Raw genomic sequence first — 20202 nt, forward strand, 5'->3', positions numbered from 1 at the left:
AGTATCAATAACTGAATAGACCAAGCAGAGGAAAGAATTTCAGAGCTTGAAGACTATCTTTTTGAAATAAGACAGGCCGACATGTTTAGAGAAAAAAGAATGAAAAGAAATGAATAAAATCTCTGACAGCTATGATTATGTAGAAAGGCTGAACTTAAGACTGATTGGGGTACCTGAAAGAGACAGGGAGAACAAACCAAGTTGGAAAACATACTTCAGAATATCATCCAGAAGAACTACCCAACCTAGCAAGACAGCCCAACATTCAAATTCAGGAAATCCAGAGAACCCCAGTAAGATACTCCAAGAGAAGATCAACCTCAAGACACATAATTATCAGATTCTCCAAGGTCAAAATAAAGGAAAAAATACTAACGGCAGCCAGAAAAAAAGGCCAGGCCATCTACAAAGGGAAGCCCATTAGACTAACAGTGGACCTCTCAGCAGAAACTGACCTCTCAGCCAGAAGAGATTGGGTGGACCTCTCAGCCAGAAGAGATTGGGTACCAATATTCAACATTCTTAAAGAAAAGAATTTCCATCCCAGAATTTTATATCTAGCCAAACTAAGCTTCATAGGTGAAGAAGAAATAAAATCCTTTTCAGACAAGCAAATGCTGAGGGAATTTGTCACCACCAGGCCTGCCTTGGAAGAGCTCATGGAGGAAGCATTAATATGGGGAGGGGGGGTGGGTAGGGGAAGAAAAAACCGTCACCAGCCACTGCAAAAACACACTAAAGTAGAAAGACCACTGGCACTATGAAGCAAAGACATCAACAAATCTGCAAAATAACCAGCCAGCATTATGATGACAGGATCAAATTCACACATAATAATGTTAACCTTAAATGTTAATGGGCTAAATGCCCCAATTAAGACACAGAATGGCAAGCTTGAAAAAGAGTCAAAACTCATTGGTGTGCTATATTCCAGAGACCCATCTTATGTGAAAAACACACATAGGCTCAAAATAAAGGGATAGAGGAAAAATTACCAAGCAAATGGAAGGCAGAAAAAAAAAAGGGGCTGCAATCCTACTTTCTGACAAAGCAGACTTTAAACCAACAAAGATCAGAAAAGACAAAGAAGGGCCTTACATATGGTAAAGGGATCAATTCAACAAGAAGAGCTAACTATCCTAAATGTATATGCACCCAATATAGGAGCACCCAGATTCATTAAAAAAAGTCCTTAGAGGCCTACACAGAGACTTAGGCTCCCAGACTTAGGCTCCCACACAACAATAGTGGGAGACTTTAATACCCCACTGTCAATATTAGATCGTCAAGACAGAAAATTAAGAAAGATATTCAGGACTTGAACTCAGCTCTGAATCAAGTCGACCTTATAGACATCTACAGAACTCTCCAGCCCAAATCATCAGAATATACATTCTTCTCAGTGCCAAATGGCACTTATTCTAAAATCGATCACATAATTGGAAGTAAAACACTCCTCAGCAAATGCAAAAGAATTGAAATCATAACAGACGGTCTCTCAGACCACAGCACAAATTAGAACTCAAAGTTAAAAAACTCACTCAAAACCACACAACTACATGAAAATTGCACAACCCGTTCCCGAATTACTCCTGGGTAAATATGAAATTAAGGGAGAAATCAAGAATCTCTTTGAAACCAATACAAACAAAGAGACAACATACCGGACTCTCTTGGACTCAGAAAATGCACCTTTAAGAGGGAAATTGTAAGCACCAAATGCCAACATCAAAAAGCTAGAAAGATCTCAAATCAACACGCTAACATGACAACTAAAAGAACTAGAGAACCAAGAGCAAAAATCCCCAAAGCTGGCAGAAAACAAAAAGTAACCAAGATCAAGGTAGAGCTGAAGGAGATAGAGACATGAACAACCCTTCCAGTGAATCTAGGAGCTGTTTTTCTAGAAAAAATTAATAAAATAGATAGACTGCTAGCTAGATTAATAAAAAAGAAAAAAGAATCAAATAGACACAATAAAAATTATAAATGGATATCAACACTGACCCCACAAAAATACAAACAACCATCTGAGAATACTATAAGCAACTCTATGCAAATAAATTTGAAAATCGAGAAGAAATGGATAAATTCCTGGACACATACATCCTCCAAGACTGAACCACGAAGTTGAATCCCTGAATAGACCAATGAGTTCTGAAATTGAGGCGATAATAAATAGTCCACCAACCAAAAAGAAGCCCTGGACCAGATGGATTTATAGCTGAATTCTACGAGAGGTACAAAGAGAAGCTGGTACCATTTCTTCTGAAATTATTCCGAACAACTGAAAAGGAGGGAATTTTCCCTAACTCATTTTATGAGGCCAGCATCACCCTACTACCAAAACCTGGCAGAGATACAACAACAAGAAAATAATAAAAACTTCAGGCCAATATCCCTGATGAATATCAATGCAAAAATCCTCGATAAAATACTGGCAAACCGAATTCAGCAGCACATCAAAAAGCTTATCTACCCCGATTAAGTCAGCTTCATCCCTAGGATGCAAGGCTGGTTAAACATACGCAAATCAATAAATGTAGTTCACCATATAAACAGAACTAAAGACAAAAACCACATAATTATCTCAATAGATGCAGAAAAGGCCTTCGATAAAATTCAACATTCCTTCATGTTAAAAACTCTGAAGAAACTAGGCATTGAAGGAACATACCTCAAAATAATAACAGCCTATATAACAAACCCACCACCAATATCATACTGAATGGGCAAAAGCTGGAAGCACTCTTCTTGAAAACTGGCACAAGACAAGGATGCTGTCTCTCACCACTCCTATTCAACATACTATTGGAAGTTCTGGTCAGGGCAATCAGGCAAAAGGAAGAAATAAAGCATATTCAAATAGGAAGACAGGAAGTCAAACTTTCTCTCTTTGCAGACGACATGATTCTATATCTAGAAAACCCCATTGTCTCAGCCCAAAAGCTTCTTAAGCTGATAAGCAACTTCAACAAAGTCTCAGAATACACAATCAATGTGCAAATATCACAAGCATTCCTATACACCAACAACAGACAAGCAGAGAGCTAAATCACAAATGATCTCCCATTCACAATTGCTACAAAGAGAATAAAATGCCTAGGAATACAGCTAACAAGGGAAGTGAAGGAGCTCTTCAAGGAGAACTACAAACAACTGCTCAAGAAAATCACAGAGGACACAAACAAATGGAAAAACATTTCATGCTCATGCATAGAAAGAATCATATTGTGAAAATGTCCATACTGCCTGAAGTAATTTATAGATTCAATACTATTCCCATTAAACTACCATTGACATTCTTCACAGAATTAGAAAAAAACTACTTTAAAATTCATATGGAACCAAAAAAACAGCCTGCATAGCCAAGACAATCCTAAGCAAAAAGAACAAAGCTGGAGGCGTCACACTACCCAACTTCAAACGATACTACAAGGCTACAGTAACCAAAACAGCCTGCTACTGGCACAAGAACAGACACATAGACCAATGTAACAGAATAAAGATCTCAGAAATAAGACTGCACATCTACAATCATCTGATCTTTGACAAATCAAACAAAAACAAGCAATGGGGAAAAGTTCCCCTATTTAATAAATAGTGCTGGGAAAATGGCTAACCACATCCAGAAAATTGAAACTGGACCTCTTCTTTACACCTTATACAAAAATTAACTCAAGATGGATTAAAGACTTAAATGTAAAACCCAAAACTATGAAAATCCTGGAAGAAAATCTAGGCAATACCATACAAGACATTGTTACGGGCAAAGATTTCATGACAAAAACATCAAAAGCAATTGCAACAAAAGCAAAAATTGACAAATGGGATATAATTAAACTGAAGAGCTTCTGCAAAGGAAAAGAAACTATCATCAGAGTGAACAGACAACCTACAGAATAGGAGAAAATTTTTGCAATGTATCCATCTGACAAAGGTCTATTATGCAGAATCTACAAGGAACTTAAACAAATTTACAAGAATAAACAAGCAATCCCATTACAAAGTGGGCAAAGGACATGGACACTTCTCAAAAGAAGACATTTATGCAACCAAGAAACATATGAAGAAAAGCTCTACATCACTGATTATTAAAGAAATGCAAATCAAAACCATGATAAGATACCATCTCATGCCAGTCAGAATGGTAATTGTTAAAAAGTCAAGAAACAGCAGATGCTGGGAGGCTGCAGAGAGATAGGAACACTTTTACACTGTTGGTGGGAATGTATATTAGTTCAACCATTGTGCAAGACAGTTTCATGATTCCTCAAATACCTAGAACCAGAAATACCACTTGGCCCAGCAATCCCATTACTGGGTATACACCCAAAGGAATATAATTCATCCTGTTATAAAGACACATGCACATGTATGTTCATTGCAGCACTATTCACAATAGCAAAGAAGACATGGAATCAATCCAAGTGCCCATAAATGATAGACGGGATAAAGAAAATGTGGTACGTATACACCATGGAATACCATGCAGTCATAAAAAGGAACGAGATCATGTCCTTTGCAGGGACATGGATGGAGCTGTAAGCCATTATCCTCAGCAAACTAACGCAGGAACAGAAAACCAAATACCGCATGTTCCCACACATAAGTGGCAGCTGAACAGTGAGAACACATGGACACAGGGAGGGGAACAACACACACTGGGCCCTGTCACGGGGGTGGAGGAAGGAAGAGCATCAGGATAAATAGCTAATGCACGTGGGGCTTAATACCTAGGTGATGGGTTGATAGGTACAGCAAACAATGGCACATGTTTACCTATGTAACAAATCTGCCCGTCCTGCACATGTATCCCAGAACTTAAATTAAAATTAATTTAAATTTTTAAAAAAGAAAATTAAGCTAGGACACATGTTGTTAAACATTTCATATTTTTCAAATAAATAACCAGGCTACTTTGTTATATTATTACACTGAAGAAAATAGAGTGCTTCTACAGATGATATAATCTTTGTTCATTTTATCCCCAACAATTCACGAGCAAGATTTGTGTACTAACAAAGGAGAACAGGTTTTATTTGCAGCCACCTTCTTCTATTGCCTCTTCTCCAATCCTTTTAATTTTCCTAAATTCTGAATCTGTTCTGGGAAAGCATAATTTTCATTGTATCCATTGTTTTCCATCTTCTGCAGGACCTGTGAAGCTTAGCCGCATTCTGCTAAGTTCTTGCTAACCATTACTCAATCTCCATCCTTCATAATGTGACAGTCATTTCTTTGTTTCTGCCATGAATTGATTAATGTGATACCCACTCTTAACCTGTGCTTCTGAGACTGCTTAGTGTGTGTAACCTAGTAAACATCAGATAAAAGCCTACAGTACAGCTCATTTGCAACACTGCGTATGGTCCTGGCTGGGAAAATACACTGGAAGATATCCAGCTGTGTGTATAAATCAATTCCTTTCACACCCATGAAAAGCTGGGTATTCCTGCCAGCTGGAGCTGTTGGCAGACGGAAGGCTGTGTGTGAAAACTTCGACAGTTGTTTGTAATAGTTCTAAAAGATATAAATAGAATTACAGCAAAGAATAGTGAAAAATATTCCTTGTGCACTACTACTCTACTGAAAACCTATGCTTCAAAAAGTGATACATAACAACTTGTAAAGCCACATAGAGAAATTTGGATCTGCTGCAGGATTTCCATTTATCTATTTAATTTGTTTTAGCACTCAATAGGTCTTTATTTTCTTCCATCTATAGAAAGTTTCGTAACCCTTTCTGCATATCTCAAAGATTAAAGTGCAAAGTGAGAATACTAAAAATTTTATTAAGCACAAAGTGCTATGCACAAGCTTGACTATTGACAGCTTAGTTGCCACCACCTGTGTATTACCTGTAGTAGAAGAATAGCCAATATTAAAATTTCCCTGGGTTATGGTGGAGCATTTGTATTTTTGGAAGAATTTTTTAATCCAAATTTCTACTACCATATACTTCTCAATTAAGAACAGAAAAAAACACTACAATATTACAATAAATTCTAAAATGATATGAGCCAATTTTCCAAAAGTACTGAGTGAGCACTACCACATGTCCTTAGTCTTTGTGGGTAGCTCTGAAAGAAGTCTCTGGGTAACATCATGGTTGTTGTTTATACATGCTAAATTCTTTTCTTAGATGTTATTTAAACAATTTTTTAAAAATTTTTATACTTAGAAAAACAAGTGAATCACTATTAACAAAACTAAAATAAGTATCTAATGTATACTTGTTCCATAGTCCAGAGATCCAATAAAGATGGTCATTCAGAATGCTGAAGGAAAACAACCCCAAGAGCAGAGATGGCAAACAAACTTCATCTTTCATACCAGCTGTCATCAATTAATTGTGGCCTCCGAAGCTGTTCATGGAGCAGAATTTTGAGGCCTTACCAAATTCAGCTGGAGAAAATATGGATTTATTACTAATATCTGACAGTAACATGGCCAAGACAGTGTTGAAGATCTCCTGTCTACATATTTTTTAAATATAGTTTCACAGACCAAAGTGAAAGAAATTAAGGTACAGTAGAAATCAGAGATTAAGAAGAAAACAAATTTGAAAATGACACCAGGTACACGTGTTTGTTATTAAAAGTCTGCTGTTGACACTGGCAACAAGAAAAGTAAAGAAAGGCTGGACAAGAAGTCAGAAGATATTTTATAAGAAGATATGTTTTTTAAATAGAATTACAAGGTAACCTCAGAGTTTAGATACTGATTAAGCCCCAGAACGAAAATCGTTTGCCCTGTTATAAATGTCTGTGTCATCAGTAATTGACTGATACTAAAGTCAGTTCTCAAATACTTAATAGCTGATTGAAGGGCGTGGGAGATGCCCAAGAATATTTAATTGACTTGCTCTTCAGAGGAGGGCAGTATTAAAAATTAATTTTTAATTATGGTCTGTTATAAAGTCAACCAGACAGAAAATATTGCCAGTATTATCTACAGACATGTCATTATATTCCTGGATTATTGAAGCAGGAAGCCACTAAGAAAAGTCTATTTTTAATTTGGATCAAATATTACTCCAATTTTGGAAGCAATAGCAAGAATAATAATAGCCTGGGAAAATTTAGAGTCCTGAGCCCAAAATACCATGGAAAATCCTACTCAATTGATTCTAGCCTGCCATTCCATTCTCTCTAGCCCATAGAACACCATTGTTTTAGTCAGAGTTCTTCAGAGAAACAGAAGCAATAGCGAGTGTGTGTGTGTGTGTGTGTGTCTGCATACCTACGTGTGTGTGCGTGTGTGTGTGTGTGTAAAGAAACCTATTTTAAGGAGTTGGCTCAGGTGATTAGGGAGGCTGGTAAGTCCAAAACCTATGGGTGGACTTTGCTTTGCTTTACTCAAAGTCTATTGATTTAAATGTTAATCTCATCCAAACACACCCTCAATAAAACATCCATAATCATGTTTGACCACAGTATGTGGCTGTGTCTCAGCCAAGCTGACACATAAAATTAAGCATCACAACCACCAACCGAAGAGAAACGAAGAAACCACAAAAGTAAGTCCAAAGTTTGATATGTCCTTACTATGTGAAAGCATCATGGAAACTTAGAATGTGTCTTCTTTGCTTGAGGATTCAACTAGATTAAGTTCTTCAACTATTTGTTGCACATTATTGAAGATTGTATTCTATAAAAACGAATGCAACAATATCTTCCAGTATCCACTTTTCCATGTGACTTTGTTATTTTCCCATCAAGAGGAGGGGTCTAATTTCCTTATCTTTGAATCTGGGCTTTCCTTGGTGATTCAATTGTAACCCATAGAATTCAGTGGCATAGATTCAGTGGCACTTCCTGACTTCTGAATGTAGGTCAGAAAAAAACAGGACCATTCCCCTTGGTCATTTGAGCACTCACTCTCAAGATGCTTTCCCGTCACAGGTGCCCTGCTGTGAGAAGTCAAAGGAGAGACTAAGCAGGGGCTTAGGTCAGCAGTTGCAGCTAAGTTCATAACCTGAGTTATCCTACCTCAGATTCCAAGCATCTGAGTGCAGATGCCCGAGACCGTTTCAATCCTCAGTCATTCCAGTCACCCTCAGCCATGAGAATCTTCCAAGCTGAGACCCTGGACAACATGCCGCAGAGATAAGCTACCCTCACTATGTTGGCCATAGAATATGTGAGCATAATGAAATAGTTGTCACTTTACACTACTGAATTTGGAGTGTTTTGTTAAATTACATGGATAACCAGACCAGCTGGCAACTGTGTATAGGCAATATACTAGGCACCATGAAGGATAAAAATTTAAATTTGAAAAAGTTATTAATGTTGCATCTAGGAGTTAAAAATATAAATATAAAACTTCAGGAAATAATAAACAGCTCTTTTTTAAAAAATCGAAACAGACCAATTCCTAAGCCCCAAGGGTACATTACACTTGCTAAAAAGTAGCACGCACAGTATCAACATAATGGTAATATAGTTAACATAGTACTTTATTTTAAAAGTAAACAAAAATACAGTTTGTTTGATTTTTGCAACTCGTATCACTGGCTATGTGCCCTCTCTGCTTCTTTGCACATTCTCTTTTGATGTTTTTTTTCTTCATTGAATAAAAGAAAACCCCAAACTGTCAGAGGCAGTGGCTACCCAAGGCCACTGTTAGCACAGGAGTAAGTAAGAGGAGAATCAAAGAGGTTTCTTCTTCTTTCCCAATGCCAGGGAAGTGGGAGAGCAGAAGGCAATCAAGCAGAATATTTCAATAATTCATTTTTCTATTTCATGTCCTTCATCGTCTAATAGAACACAATATTTTTTAAAAAATCTGTACAGAGAGTACCTTGTATTATAAATCTTGTTTCACTAGGTTGTAAACTCCTAAATGACAGGAAGTCTGTCTTTTTTCTCCCCATGTTTTGAATAGTGTCTTATATCCTGACCTCTCAAATATTAAATCAGTCAAGTCTTGGAACAAAGAGTATTCAAAAAATGGTTTTTTTTTTTCATAACATACTGGGTCCTTTTGCTTCCCAGCAAAGATAATGAAAGGTCTTAATCATATTATAGGTGCCAACTTTTCATTTCTCTGGCAAGTGCCTTGGTAGTAAATCCAAATCAAACTCTTATTGCAGCAAAGTTAGGTTGCTAAAATGACCAGAGTAGCAGGTCATCTTAGCCATCTTCCCTCATCTCCCAGAGAGTGGGAGATTGCTCCATAAACCATGTTCCTCGATGCTCATCCAACCCTATTTTAAGTGATGAATATAATGGCCTAATAGCCTTTTCTTTAAGAAGTCTGTCATGTTCTTCAGTCTGGACTTTCAAAGTCTAAAGGACAGAAGCACTCTGAAACCATTCTGACTTTCAAATTTGAGGGGCTAATAAATGTCAAATGCAGGGTCAGAACATATTAAAGTAAATGAAGCAGTTTGGTCACTCTTAAACACAGAGTCAAACATATAGCAGAAGGACAACCTTGTCACTAACAGAAGTGTCTGGATAATTATCTGACCTTTCCTGTAAGACCTTGGAGCATCTTTGCTTGCAGGCATATAGGAAGCTCTCTAAGTAGAAGCCTCTCCTCTACAAAAGAAAAATATGTGTGTGTGTGTGTGTGTGTGTGTGTGTTTGTGTGATCATTTTTTAAGAAGCATAAAAGAAATGGGAATACATGTATGTATACAATACCTGAAAGAAAAAATAGAAAAAAATAAGATGCACTGCTTAAATGGTATCATCTAGTAATACAAAAGAGAAGAAAAATTTATACAAATGAATTGTGTGTATATACATAAAAAAACAAAATTGTGATCTTTAGACTAAAATTGAGAGTGTGTGCTATGCAATATCACATCTGAAAATGCTCAAGTTGTAATCATAACATTTCAATACTAATTAACATTTTTCCTCAACATAAAAGTTTTCACAAATTAAGAGTATTTTGAACAGACGGCATTGTCTAGATAATTTATGGGGTCTGTTAACAAAATGAAATTCAAGGCCCCTTGTTCCAAAATTGGAAAGAAGCTTTCATGTTTCTTCTACAGTTCCTCTCCTAACCTATCATGGTATTTTTTGCTTAGGTTGATTTATCCACCTTTATATAAACAAATTATAAAATGTGCATATATGTAAAATATAATATTTTATGTATTTGTTCAATGTCACACACCCTTGGGCATGGAGATTCTTTCAGGGTAAGTGCAGACCCTGACAAGCACCAGGCATCTCACACTGGGACCCTAACGCTTCCCACACCCAGGTCCTAACCCTCACTCAGGGTAGAAGGTGACAGAGAACCCATCCTGGGGAAAGTCAAGCCCCTGGCACATGCTCCTTCATCTCATCAGATTTCACTTACAAAACACAAATTCAAAAATACAATTATGAAGAATTTTATAACAGTGATTATATTATAGAGCAATAAACTAAAAGCATGGGGTCCTTCGGAGAGTGGGGCCCTGCGTGACTGCATTGGTGATATGCCTGTAAAGCCAGCCCTGCTAACAGGCAACATTTGGAAAATATAGCCTTTAAGCTTACTACGGTATTTAATGCAATTTAATATTATGCCTTATTGGTTCTAAGGTTGTGTTTTCTCTTGCTTGTATTCTGGAGGGTTTTTTTTTTCTACTTTAAGGATTTTTTGTTTAAAGTTTTTAGAAATTTTCTTTTCTAGAATAAACTCACTTAAAAGGATGTGATGACTTTCTAACAGGTCAATTAGGCTAGGTTGAATCCAACTGCCCTTTGTTTATGTTTAGGATTAGAGTAGGCCTCTGGAGAAATTACAATGGGACATTTGGAGGGCAGGTGTGAAGTAGCCACCATTTTGGAGCTCATACACATTGTTGCTTGTCTGTGGCTCATGCTGTTGGTGAAGCAATGGCCAGGCCTCCAACTGACTTAAAGCTCCAACATCTGGCACAAGACAACAGCCATACAGGAGCTGCTTACTCAGGTACCATAATTGAATAAGGACAACTCCCTATAACAAATACACACACACACACACACACACACACACACACACACACACACACACACATTCTGCTTCTCTGACTGAATTCGAACTGGTACAATGGGTTATTAACAAAACAGGAAACATTATGTGATTTGGACGCAGGATAAGTACATTTCCTAGTAATTTTATGGTTTGTATATAAAGACTGAGATAATTTCAAATAAAATTTGAAAAGTGTCCTGTGTCTTATAATCAGGCTTTAAAAATTTTCTGCAGCATTTAGGACCAGATGGTTCTCAATATCCCATCTGCCTTAGTCTCCTCTGTCCCTGTTCTTCAACTCTACCTCATATGAACTCCTTGTGTGCTAGCTATTCTCCAGAATCCTTCCCTCTACAGACCTGCATCTCTTTAATTTAGAAAATGTGCCCCCAGTCATAACAACAAATGCTTTTGCAGTAATATTCTCAGTTGATATCTGCATATGATGTCTTCAATTTCAAATTTTACATGTATGGAGAGTTTGTCTTTTCTAGGACACATAATTTTCCAATGCAATATTCTGCTTCATTAATACCAAAAAACAAGGGAAGACAGTTTTGAAGCCCCATGATATTATGAGAAAAATGAGTTAGTCTCCAAAGAGTTGTGTATTCCAACCATGTCAATAGATATATCAATAGTAAAAGGCCTTTTCTACATCTGCAAAAGATATTTAAACTTTGTGGGACATTTTATTCTTTTTATATATTTCCATTCAATTCCTTCATAAATATAGATTGGGCAGCATTTCATAACTCCAAGAAAAGAGCTCATAAATAAGTCTTTATTGTGAATTATTTTCCAAGAAATATAAAAGTCCCAAGATAATAGGTAATAGGCAGATAGTCAATTTTAATTTACATCTATTCCTTAAGTCATTTTCACTCATTTTGTGTCTGTGTCTCCTCTAAGACACTTTAGTTAGCTCTAGGTGAGCACATAAAACGAAGTTGCTGCTTGTCCTCTGAAAACACTGCAAAAAATGAATTATGAATATTTAGAGTAGCTAGCTGATGCATTTGCATTTTTGTTTGTTTTTATTTTCTGCATTTCAGCAAAGTTACAGGTTCACTTTCAAATTCCAAATTTACTTGCAAATATGAAATTACTTTGTGATTTACAATGTCTTTCTCCAAACTGGTCTTGAGGTCTTTACTTGTGTGGAGCCTAGAGGTCTCATTGTCTTTACATAATGCCTAGAACTTTAGGGAACACCCCTACTTTTTTTCTTAATTAATATGTATAATTTTAACATGAATATTTTAAATAGTGTAAGGTCTCAAAATCTAAATATAACTAGAACACCTTCATTTTCTAGGATCTTTTCACCCTGTCTCAACTTCTAGGAATTTCTGTCCCTACTTTATTATGACCAATTTTGTATGTTAGGTTGCTAGTTTATTGGTATTTCAACATGGTTCACAAAGGAACTGTTACAAATATTTAAAACGTATGTGATAAAAGATACGTAGAAATAAATTTTTATGACCAAATACCATACAAATAATTGTAGGGGTTCATGACAAAAATGTATGTGGTGAAAGATAAGTAAAAATAAATTTCAATAATCAAAAATATATAAATAATTGTAGAGGTTCATGACAAAAGGGGAAAATCACAAATCTTCAAGCAATAAAAACGTGTAAGCAAGGCTGTGGTCACCATTTTTCCAACAGTATAGGCTTAGTTCATGCTTCTGAGTCACATTTTAGTATCTTGGAATATTTCAAACATTTTCATTATTATTTTTATACTGTATCTGTTATAATGATATGTCATCAGTGATCTCTGATATTATTGTAACTGTTTTGGGGTACCACAAACAATGCCCATATGACAGCAAATGTAATTGACAATATGTGTGTTCTGACTACTCCAATGACTGGCTATTCCTCTGTCTTCCTCCTGCTGAGGCTGTTCTGTTTCTTGAGACACAACAACATTGAAATTGGGACAATTAATAACCAGACAATAGTCTCTAAGTTTTCAAGTGAAAGAGTCACACATATCTCACTTTAAAAAAAAGGTTAGAAATTATTAAGCTTAGTGAAAAAGCATGTAAAAACTCAAGGCAGGCCAAAAGCTTGGCCTCTTACACCGGTTAGCCAAGATGTGAATGAAAAAGGAAAGATCCTGAAAGAAATTTAAAGTGCTACTCCAGTGAACACACAAATAATAAGAAAGAAAAACAACCTTATTGCTGATATGGAAAAAGTTTGAGTGGTCTTGATAGAGGATCAGACCAGTAACAACATTCCCTTAAACCAAAGCCTAATTCAGAGCCAGGTCCTGACACCTCAATTCTGTAGACTAAGAGAGATGAGGAAGCTGCAGATGAAAAGTTGGAAGCTAGCAGAGCTTGGCTCATGGTTCAGAGTTTAAGAAAACAAGTCATTTCCATAACATAAAAGTACAAGTTGAAACAGCAAGTGTTCATGTAGAAGCTGCAGTAAGTTATCCTGAAGATCAAGCTAATATCATTGATAAAGGTGGCTACACTAAATAGATTTTCGATGTAGACTAAACATCCTTCTCTTGGAAGAAGATGCCATCTAGGACTGTCATAGCTAGAGAAGGGAAGTCAATACCTGGATTCAAAGCTTTAAAAGATAGGCTGACTCTTTTGTTAGGGGCTAATGCAGCTGCTGACTTTATGTTGAAGCCAATGCTCATTTGCCGTTCCAAAAATCCTCGGGCCCTTACAAATTATGCTACATAGGCTGGGTGTGGTGGCTCACGCCTGTAATCTCAGTACTTTGGGAGGCTGCAGTAGGAGGATCACTTGAGCCCAGGAGTTTGAGACCAGCCTGAGCAACGTAAAACATTGTCTCTACTACAACTAAAAATAAATACATAAGAAAAATAAAAATAAAGAATTATGCTACATCTACTCTGCCTATGCTACATAAATGGAACAACAAGGCCTAGATGACAGCACATCTCTTTACAGTCTGGTATACTAAATCTTCTGAGCCCACTATTGCAACACACTTTTCAGAAAAAAAATATTACTTTCAAAATATTACTGCTCACTGACAATGTACCTAGTCACTCAAGAGCTCTGAAAGATATTTCCAGGGAAATTAACGTTGTTTTCATCCCTGTGAACATAATATCCATTATGCAGCCCATGTTTCAAGGAGTGATTTTGACTTTCAAGTCTTATTATTTTAAAATATATTTCATAAAGATATAGCTACCATAGATAATTATTTTTCTGTTGGATCTGAGCAAAGTAAAATGAAAACCTTGTGGAAAGGATTCACCATTCTAGTTCCATTAAAAACATTTGTGAATCATGGGAAGAGGTCAAAATATAAACATTAACAGAAGTTTGGAAGAAGCTGATTTCAATGCCAATGAATGACTTTGAGGTGTTTAAGATTTTAGTGGATGAAGTAAGTGCACGTGGTGGAAATAGCAAGAGAACTAGACTAGAAGTGGAGTCTGAATATGGGACTAAATTGCTGTAATTTCATGATCAAACTGAAATGGATAAGGAGTTACATTTTATAATTGAGTAAAGTACGTGGTTTCTTGAGATGGAATCTACTCCTGCTGAAGGTTCTGTGAACATGTTTAAATGATTGAAAATATTTCATAAACTTAATTGACAAGGCATCAGCAGACTTTGAGATAATTGACTCCAATTTTTAAAGTAGCTTACTATGGATAAATGCTATACGACAGCAGTGCATGCTACAAAGAAATATTTCATGAAAGTAAGAGTTAATCAATGCAGCACACTTCGTCGTTGTCTTATTTTAAGAAATTGGCACAGACCTTCTACAACCTGATCAGCCAGCAGCCACACAATGGAAAATTATGACTCTGAAGGCTCAGGTGCTTCTTAGCATTTTAGCAATAAAGTATTTTTTAGTTAAGGTATGTACATTAAATTTTAGACATAATGTTATTGCACACTTAATAGAATGTAGTCTAGTATAAACAAACTTTTGTATGTACTTGAAAATCAAAAAAATTATATGATTTGCTTTATTGCAATGTTCACTTTATTGCAGTGGTCTGGAAGTGAATCCACAATATCTCTGAGGTATACCTGCACATTCATACAGTTTCTAAATGAATTCAAAGTGTTTCAGAAACAATTGCTCTTAAATTCCAAGTGGTATTAATTTAGGAGACTTAAGTACTGAATATAATTTTCAAAAGTACAACAAATTCAGAAGTTGTTTCTAGTAGCTTTCTTCAAATAAAATTTAGAGCATAGCCTTCATAAACACCTCAGTGGAAACAAGGCTTCAGGAAACCTGGAGACAGCTATAATTTCCAACAACTAAATTGCTGAGTTTATTTGCAAACATAATGTTTGTATATCAAATGACTAATGTATAAGTATTTTATTCATGCAATTGATGGAAAAACCACCTTCCATGATCTGTAAATAGAAGACCTAGGGGATTCCACACACTTGAAGCTTAACATTTATAAGATATTTCCAAATGCATCCTAAATTCAAACCTGTTGCTTCCATCCGCCTTCAGATAATTTTGTCAGAGCAATTGAGTCATTGAGTATTGTATCTATCACCCAACCTGTAAGTAAACTAAAGTTGGCTGGTTAGGAAAAAATCATATTGCAAGCAATTTTGTAGTGATTTATCCAAAACTATTATAGCCTAAGATTCTTTGAATTAGACTTTCTGCTTAAAAATTGAAGATTAAGTATTTGCATATAAGAAATATTTTATTTTAGATCTTTGAAAAATACTTGTTACCATCCTAGAATGGCTCTCAACATCATAATCACATCTATTTCAAATATATTTTTGGATCATGCAACTTTATATATTTATAACTCTCAATTATTCTTTAAAAACTTCAATTATAAATGTCTGCTTAAAACATAATATGTTTATTTAAAAATCTCCTCCAATGTTTATGTGTGGAAGTATTTTTCATGCTACGCTAACCCACACTTTTCATTTATGTACTCTTATGGCATTTCTAGATCACTGGGCTTTTGTAATTCAATACATGGTGCTCTTGCCCCTGAAGTGAACAGTAAGAAAAGCAGCACTTGCAAAATTAGTTTTCAGTCCATTAAAGTGAGTTCTATGGAAGGTGCTTTCCTGATCATTTGAATCGTGTTCATCGTTTGTTAGTGATGATGCTTGTTTCACACATGATGTCCAGGGCTGTCGCCTCTGACATTGTTAAGTCAGAAAATAACTGAAAGCAGAGTCAGATCAGGGAATCATCTAAAGGAACCCAGACATCCTCTGGCACCCTCTGCATAAAAAACACCAATTTGTATTAACTTGGGAAAAGACTTGGCTAAAAACGATTTTAGTCATTTTTAGGCTGTCACTGTCATTTTTATCTCCCGGAAATCATTTATTAATTATATTAGTTTTTTAAACGCTTGTAATTGATGATATGCACAGAGAAGAAAACATATGAAGTGTTGCATTAAACATATACTCACAATAATGCAGTAAATTATTTTAACTATATATTTTCAAATTTTATGTGACATGTTTGGATAAATTCAGACTAGTCCTCTTAGATCACAATAAAAATGTAAGGCCATGTTAAGAAAGAACAAAGTTATTTTATAATTACAAAGCAATTATGGTAGAAATTTATAGGTTTTGATATTATTATTTATTCAATGCCAACTGAGTACCTAATACTATATTATTTTTATATTATATATAATATTATATTTTAAGCATATAATAACATATTATGTGCAAAGTATAGTTCTAAACAAAGGAGACAAAAGAAGGTAGAGAATATGGGCTCTGCTCCCCAAAGGAGCTAAAAATCTAGCAGCAGAGACAAGGAAAGCACGCTTAAGAAGTAATCTTATAACACAGAGCAATTAACAATTTATTACCAAATAATGAATATAAAATCAGAGTTTCCAAGGTCAGTATAGACTAAACTGATCAATCCTAGGGCGGAAGCCATTCCACATGTTTTGTTCATTCTTGGTAGATTATTGGTATTTCAAGTAGTCAACTAGATAGAGGAAGGTTTGAAGTTCAAGATCCCACTTCCTATGCCCCACATATCAACTCCTTTACCTTCCATATACATAACAAATAGCAAGCTTTCCCTGAAAAATAAAAATAATGGATTTTCAGCCACATTAAACTGAACCTTCAAGTGGGAGCAGAATGTACAATGAATTGAGAGGATATTCTGGGCAGAGGAAATGGTGTGAGCATAGCTCAGAGTCTGTATTCACAAGACCTTATGGAGGGACAAAAATTAGACCAATCTGGTAAGAGCAAAAGATTCACATAGCCAGGAAGTGGGAGAAAGCAGTGAACCAGTAGATTAGGGTCAGGATGCAGAGAGCTATAAACATGTGTCTAAGGAGTGTGGTGTCCATTAAAGGATTATTTTTGAAAGAGGTGTATTGGCATAAATCAACGGAAAAAAAATGTCGAATCTAGAATAAAGCCACACATTTTCAGCCACCTGATCTTGGACAAACTCAACAAAAATATACAATGGGGAAAAAACACCCTATTCAAGAAGTGGTGCTGGGAAAATTGGTTAGCCATATGCAGAAGAATAAAAATGAACCACTACCTCTCACCATATATAAAAATTAACTCAAGATGGATTCAAAACTTAAAATGTAAGTCTTCAAACTATTAAAATACTAGAAGGAAACCTATGAAAAACTTCTGGAAATTGGCCTTCACAAATAATTTGACTAAGACCTCAAAAACAAATGAAGTATAAACAAAAATTGACAATTTGGACTTAATTAAAGAATTCCTGTGCAGCATAAGAAACACTCAACAGAGCAAACAAACAACTTACAGAATGGGAGAAAATATTTGCAAACTATGCATCTGACAAAAAGCTAATATCCAAAACCTATAAGGAACTAAAAAATATCAATAAGAAATAAACATACAATCTCATTAAAATGTAGGCAAAAAACATGAACAAACACTTATCAAAAAAAAGACTTTGGGAGGCTGAGGCGGGAGGATCACAAGGTCAGGAGTTCGAGACCAACCTGGCCAATATGGGGAAACTCCATTTCTATTAAAAATACAAAAATTAGTCGGGCGTGGTGGTGGGTGCCTATAGTCCCAGCTACTCAGGAGGCTGAGGCAGGAGAATCATTTGAACCCAGGAGGCGGAGGTTGCAGTGAGCTGAGATCATGCCACTGCACTCCAGCCTGGGTGACAGAGCGAGACTCTGTCTCAAAAAAAAAAAAAAAGACATACAAGCAGCCAATAAACATATGAAAAATGCTCAACATCACTAATCATCAGAGAAATGCAAATCAAAACTACAGTGAGATATCATCTCACACTAGTTACAATGGCTATTTATTAAAAAGTCAAAAAATAACAGATGTTGGGGAGGATGTGGAGAAAGGCAAACGCTTATACACTGTTGGTGAGAATGTAAATCAGTTCAGCCCCTATAGAAAGCAGTTTGGAGATTTCTCAAAGAGCTAAAAATGGAACCACCCTTGAACTGAGCAATCCTATTACTGGGCATCTACCCAAAGGAAAATAAATCATTATATCAAAAACACACCTGCTCTCATATAGTTATCACTATTCACAATAGTAAAGTCATAGAATCAACCTAGATGCCCACAATGGTGGATTGGATAAAGAAAATGTAGTACATACACACCATGGAATATTACACAGCCATAAAAAAGAATGAAATCATGTTCTTTACAGCAACATGAATGCAGCAAGAGGTCATTATCATAAGTGGACTATTCAAAAACAGAAAATCAATTACTGCATGTTCTCACTTATAAGTGGGAGCTAAACAATAGGTACACACAGACATAAAGATCAAAACAATAGACACTGAGGACTTGAAAAGAGAGGAGGGAGGAGCAGGGGTAAGAGTTGAAAAAAGACCTGTTGTGTACTATGTTCACTATTTCGGTGATGGGTTCAATAGAAGCCCAAATCCCAGCATTATACAGTATATTCAAGTAACAAACCTACACATTTACCCCCAGAATCTAAAATCTAAAAAATACTAAAAATAAAAAAGAGAGTGATGTATTAGGAGAAATTGTCAAATAAAGAAATTGGGGGCTAGAAAGCTAAAGAAGTCATTGCAGAAGTTCAAATAGGAGTTGCTAATAGTGTGAAGTAGGTATATCACTACAGAATGAAAATATAGCTGTGGAACTTACTGAAAGAAAACTAAATAGAAGATTTTTTGGAAGATTTACTTATGGAAAGTTAAGGAGAAAATTTAAAATGTGTTTCTTGAATTTTAAGACCGGGCAGCTAAATGATACTAATCCTGACAGAAAGTGGAAAGTTAATGGGAAGACTCAATTTTCACAAGGTGATAGCACATTGGAATATAGTTCTGCTTGCATTTAAAGTCAAAAATTAAAAAAAAAACTGAAATGAAAATACCTATACACAACTGGACAGCAAACTGAAGAGAAAGATTTCTCAGTCCGTAAGATGTATATTTGTGAACCCTGTAGTATGAAATCATCATAAACGAACCCATGGGCATTCATAACATCTTAGAGAGCATGAAAAGAATTATCTCCCTTGACTGAATCTAGGAGTATGACTGACTTTACTGGCACACAGAAGTCATTATTTATTGCAAATAAGAAGTCTTTCAATTTCTACTATAAACCTCATCATGAAAACCTCATCATGAATATAATCTCCCACAATAGCAACTGGAAATACCTAAGATCTCAACATAAAAAGTTTCATAATTTAGAATAAAGTCAGGCAATAGGTAATAAAAGCAACAACAACAAAAAAGCCCTGGAGTAGATGAATTCACAGTTGATTCTCTCTGATGTACAAAGAAGAGCTAGTACCCATCCTACTGAAATTACTCCAAAAATTGAGGAGGAGAGACTCCTCACCTCACTAACTCATTCTATGAAGCCAGTATCATTCTCATAACGAAACCCAAAAGAGACACAACAAAGAGAGAAAATTTCCAGCCAATATCCCTGATGAATATAGATGCAAAAATCCTCAGCAAAATACTAGCAAACTGAATCCAGCAGCACATAAAAAAGTTAATTCACCATGATCAAGCAGGCTTTCTTCCTCGGATGCGAGGTTGGTTCAACATATGCAAATCAATAAATGTGATTCACCAAATAAGCAGAATTTAAAAAAAACATAATTATATCAATAGAAGCAGAAAAGGCTTTTGACACATTCAACATCCCTTCATATTAAAAACCTTCAACAAATTAGGCACCAAAGGAAC

At 35.7% G+C, this 20202-nt stretch overlaps 1 annotated feature.

The window, feature by feature from the left end:
* Positions 760-929: an enhancer, noted in NCBI's record as "experimental_87979 CRE fragment used in MPRA reporter constructs". NCBI's record gives its function as "activates a minimal promoter by MPRAs in K562 erythroleukemia cells, with activity observed for the introgressed 6:115868345 variant allele {active_cell/tissue: K562}" and the evidence as "EXISTENCE:reporter gene assay evidence [ECO:0000049][PMID:34662402]".

Source organism: Homo sapiens, chromosome 6 (assembly GCF_000001405.40).
Source record: "Homo sapiens chromosome 6, GRCh38.p14 Primary Assembly".
Lineage (NCBI taxonomy): Eukaryota > Metazoa > Chordata > Mammalia > Primates > Hominidae > Homo > Homo sapiens.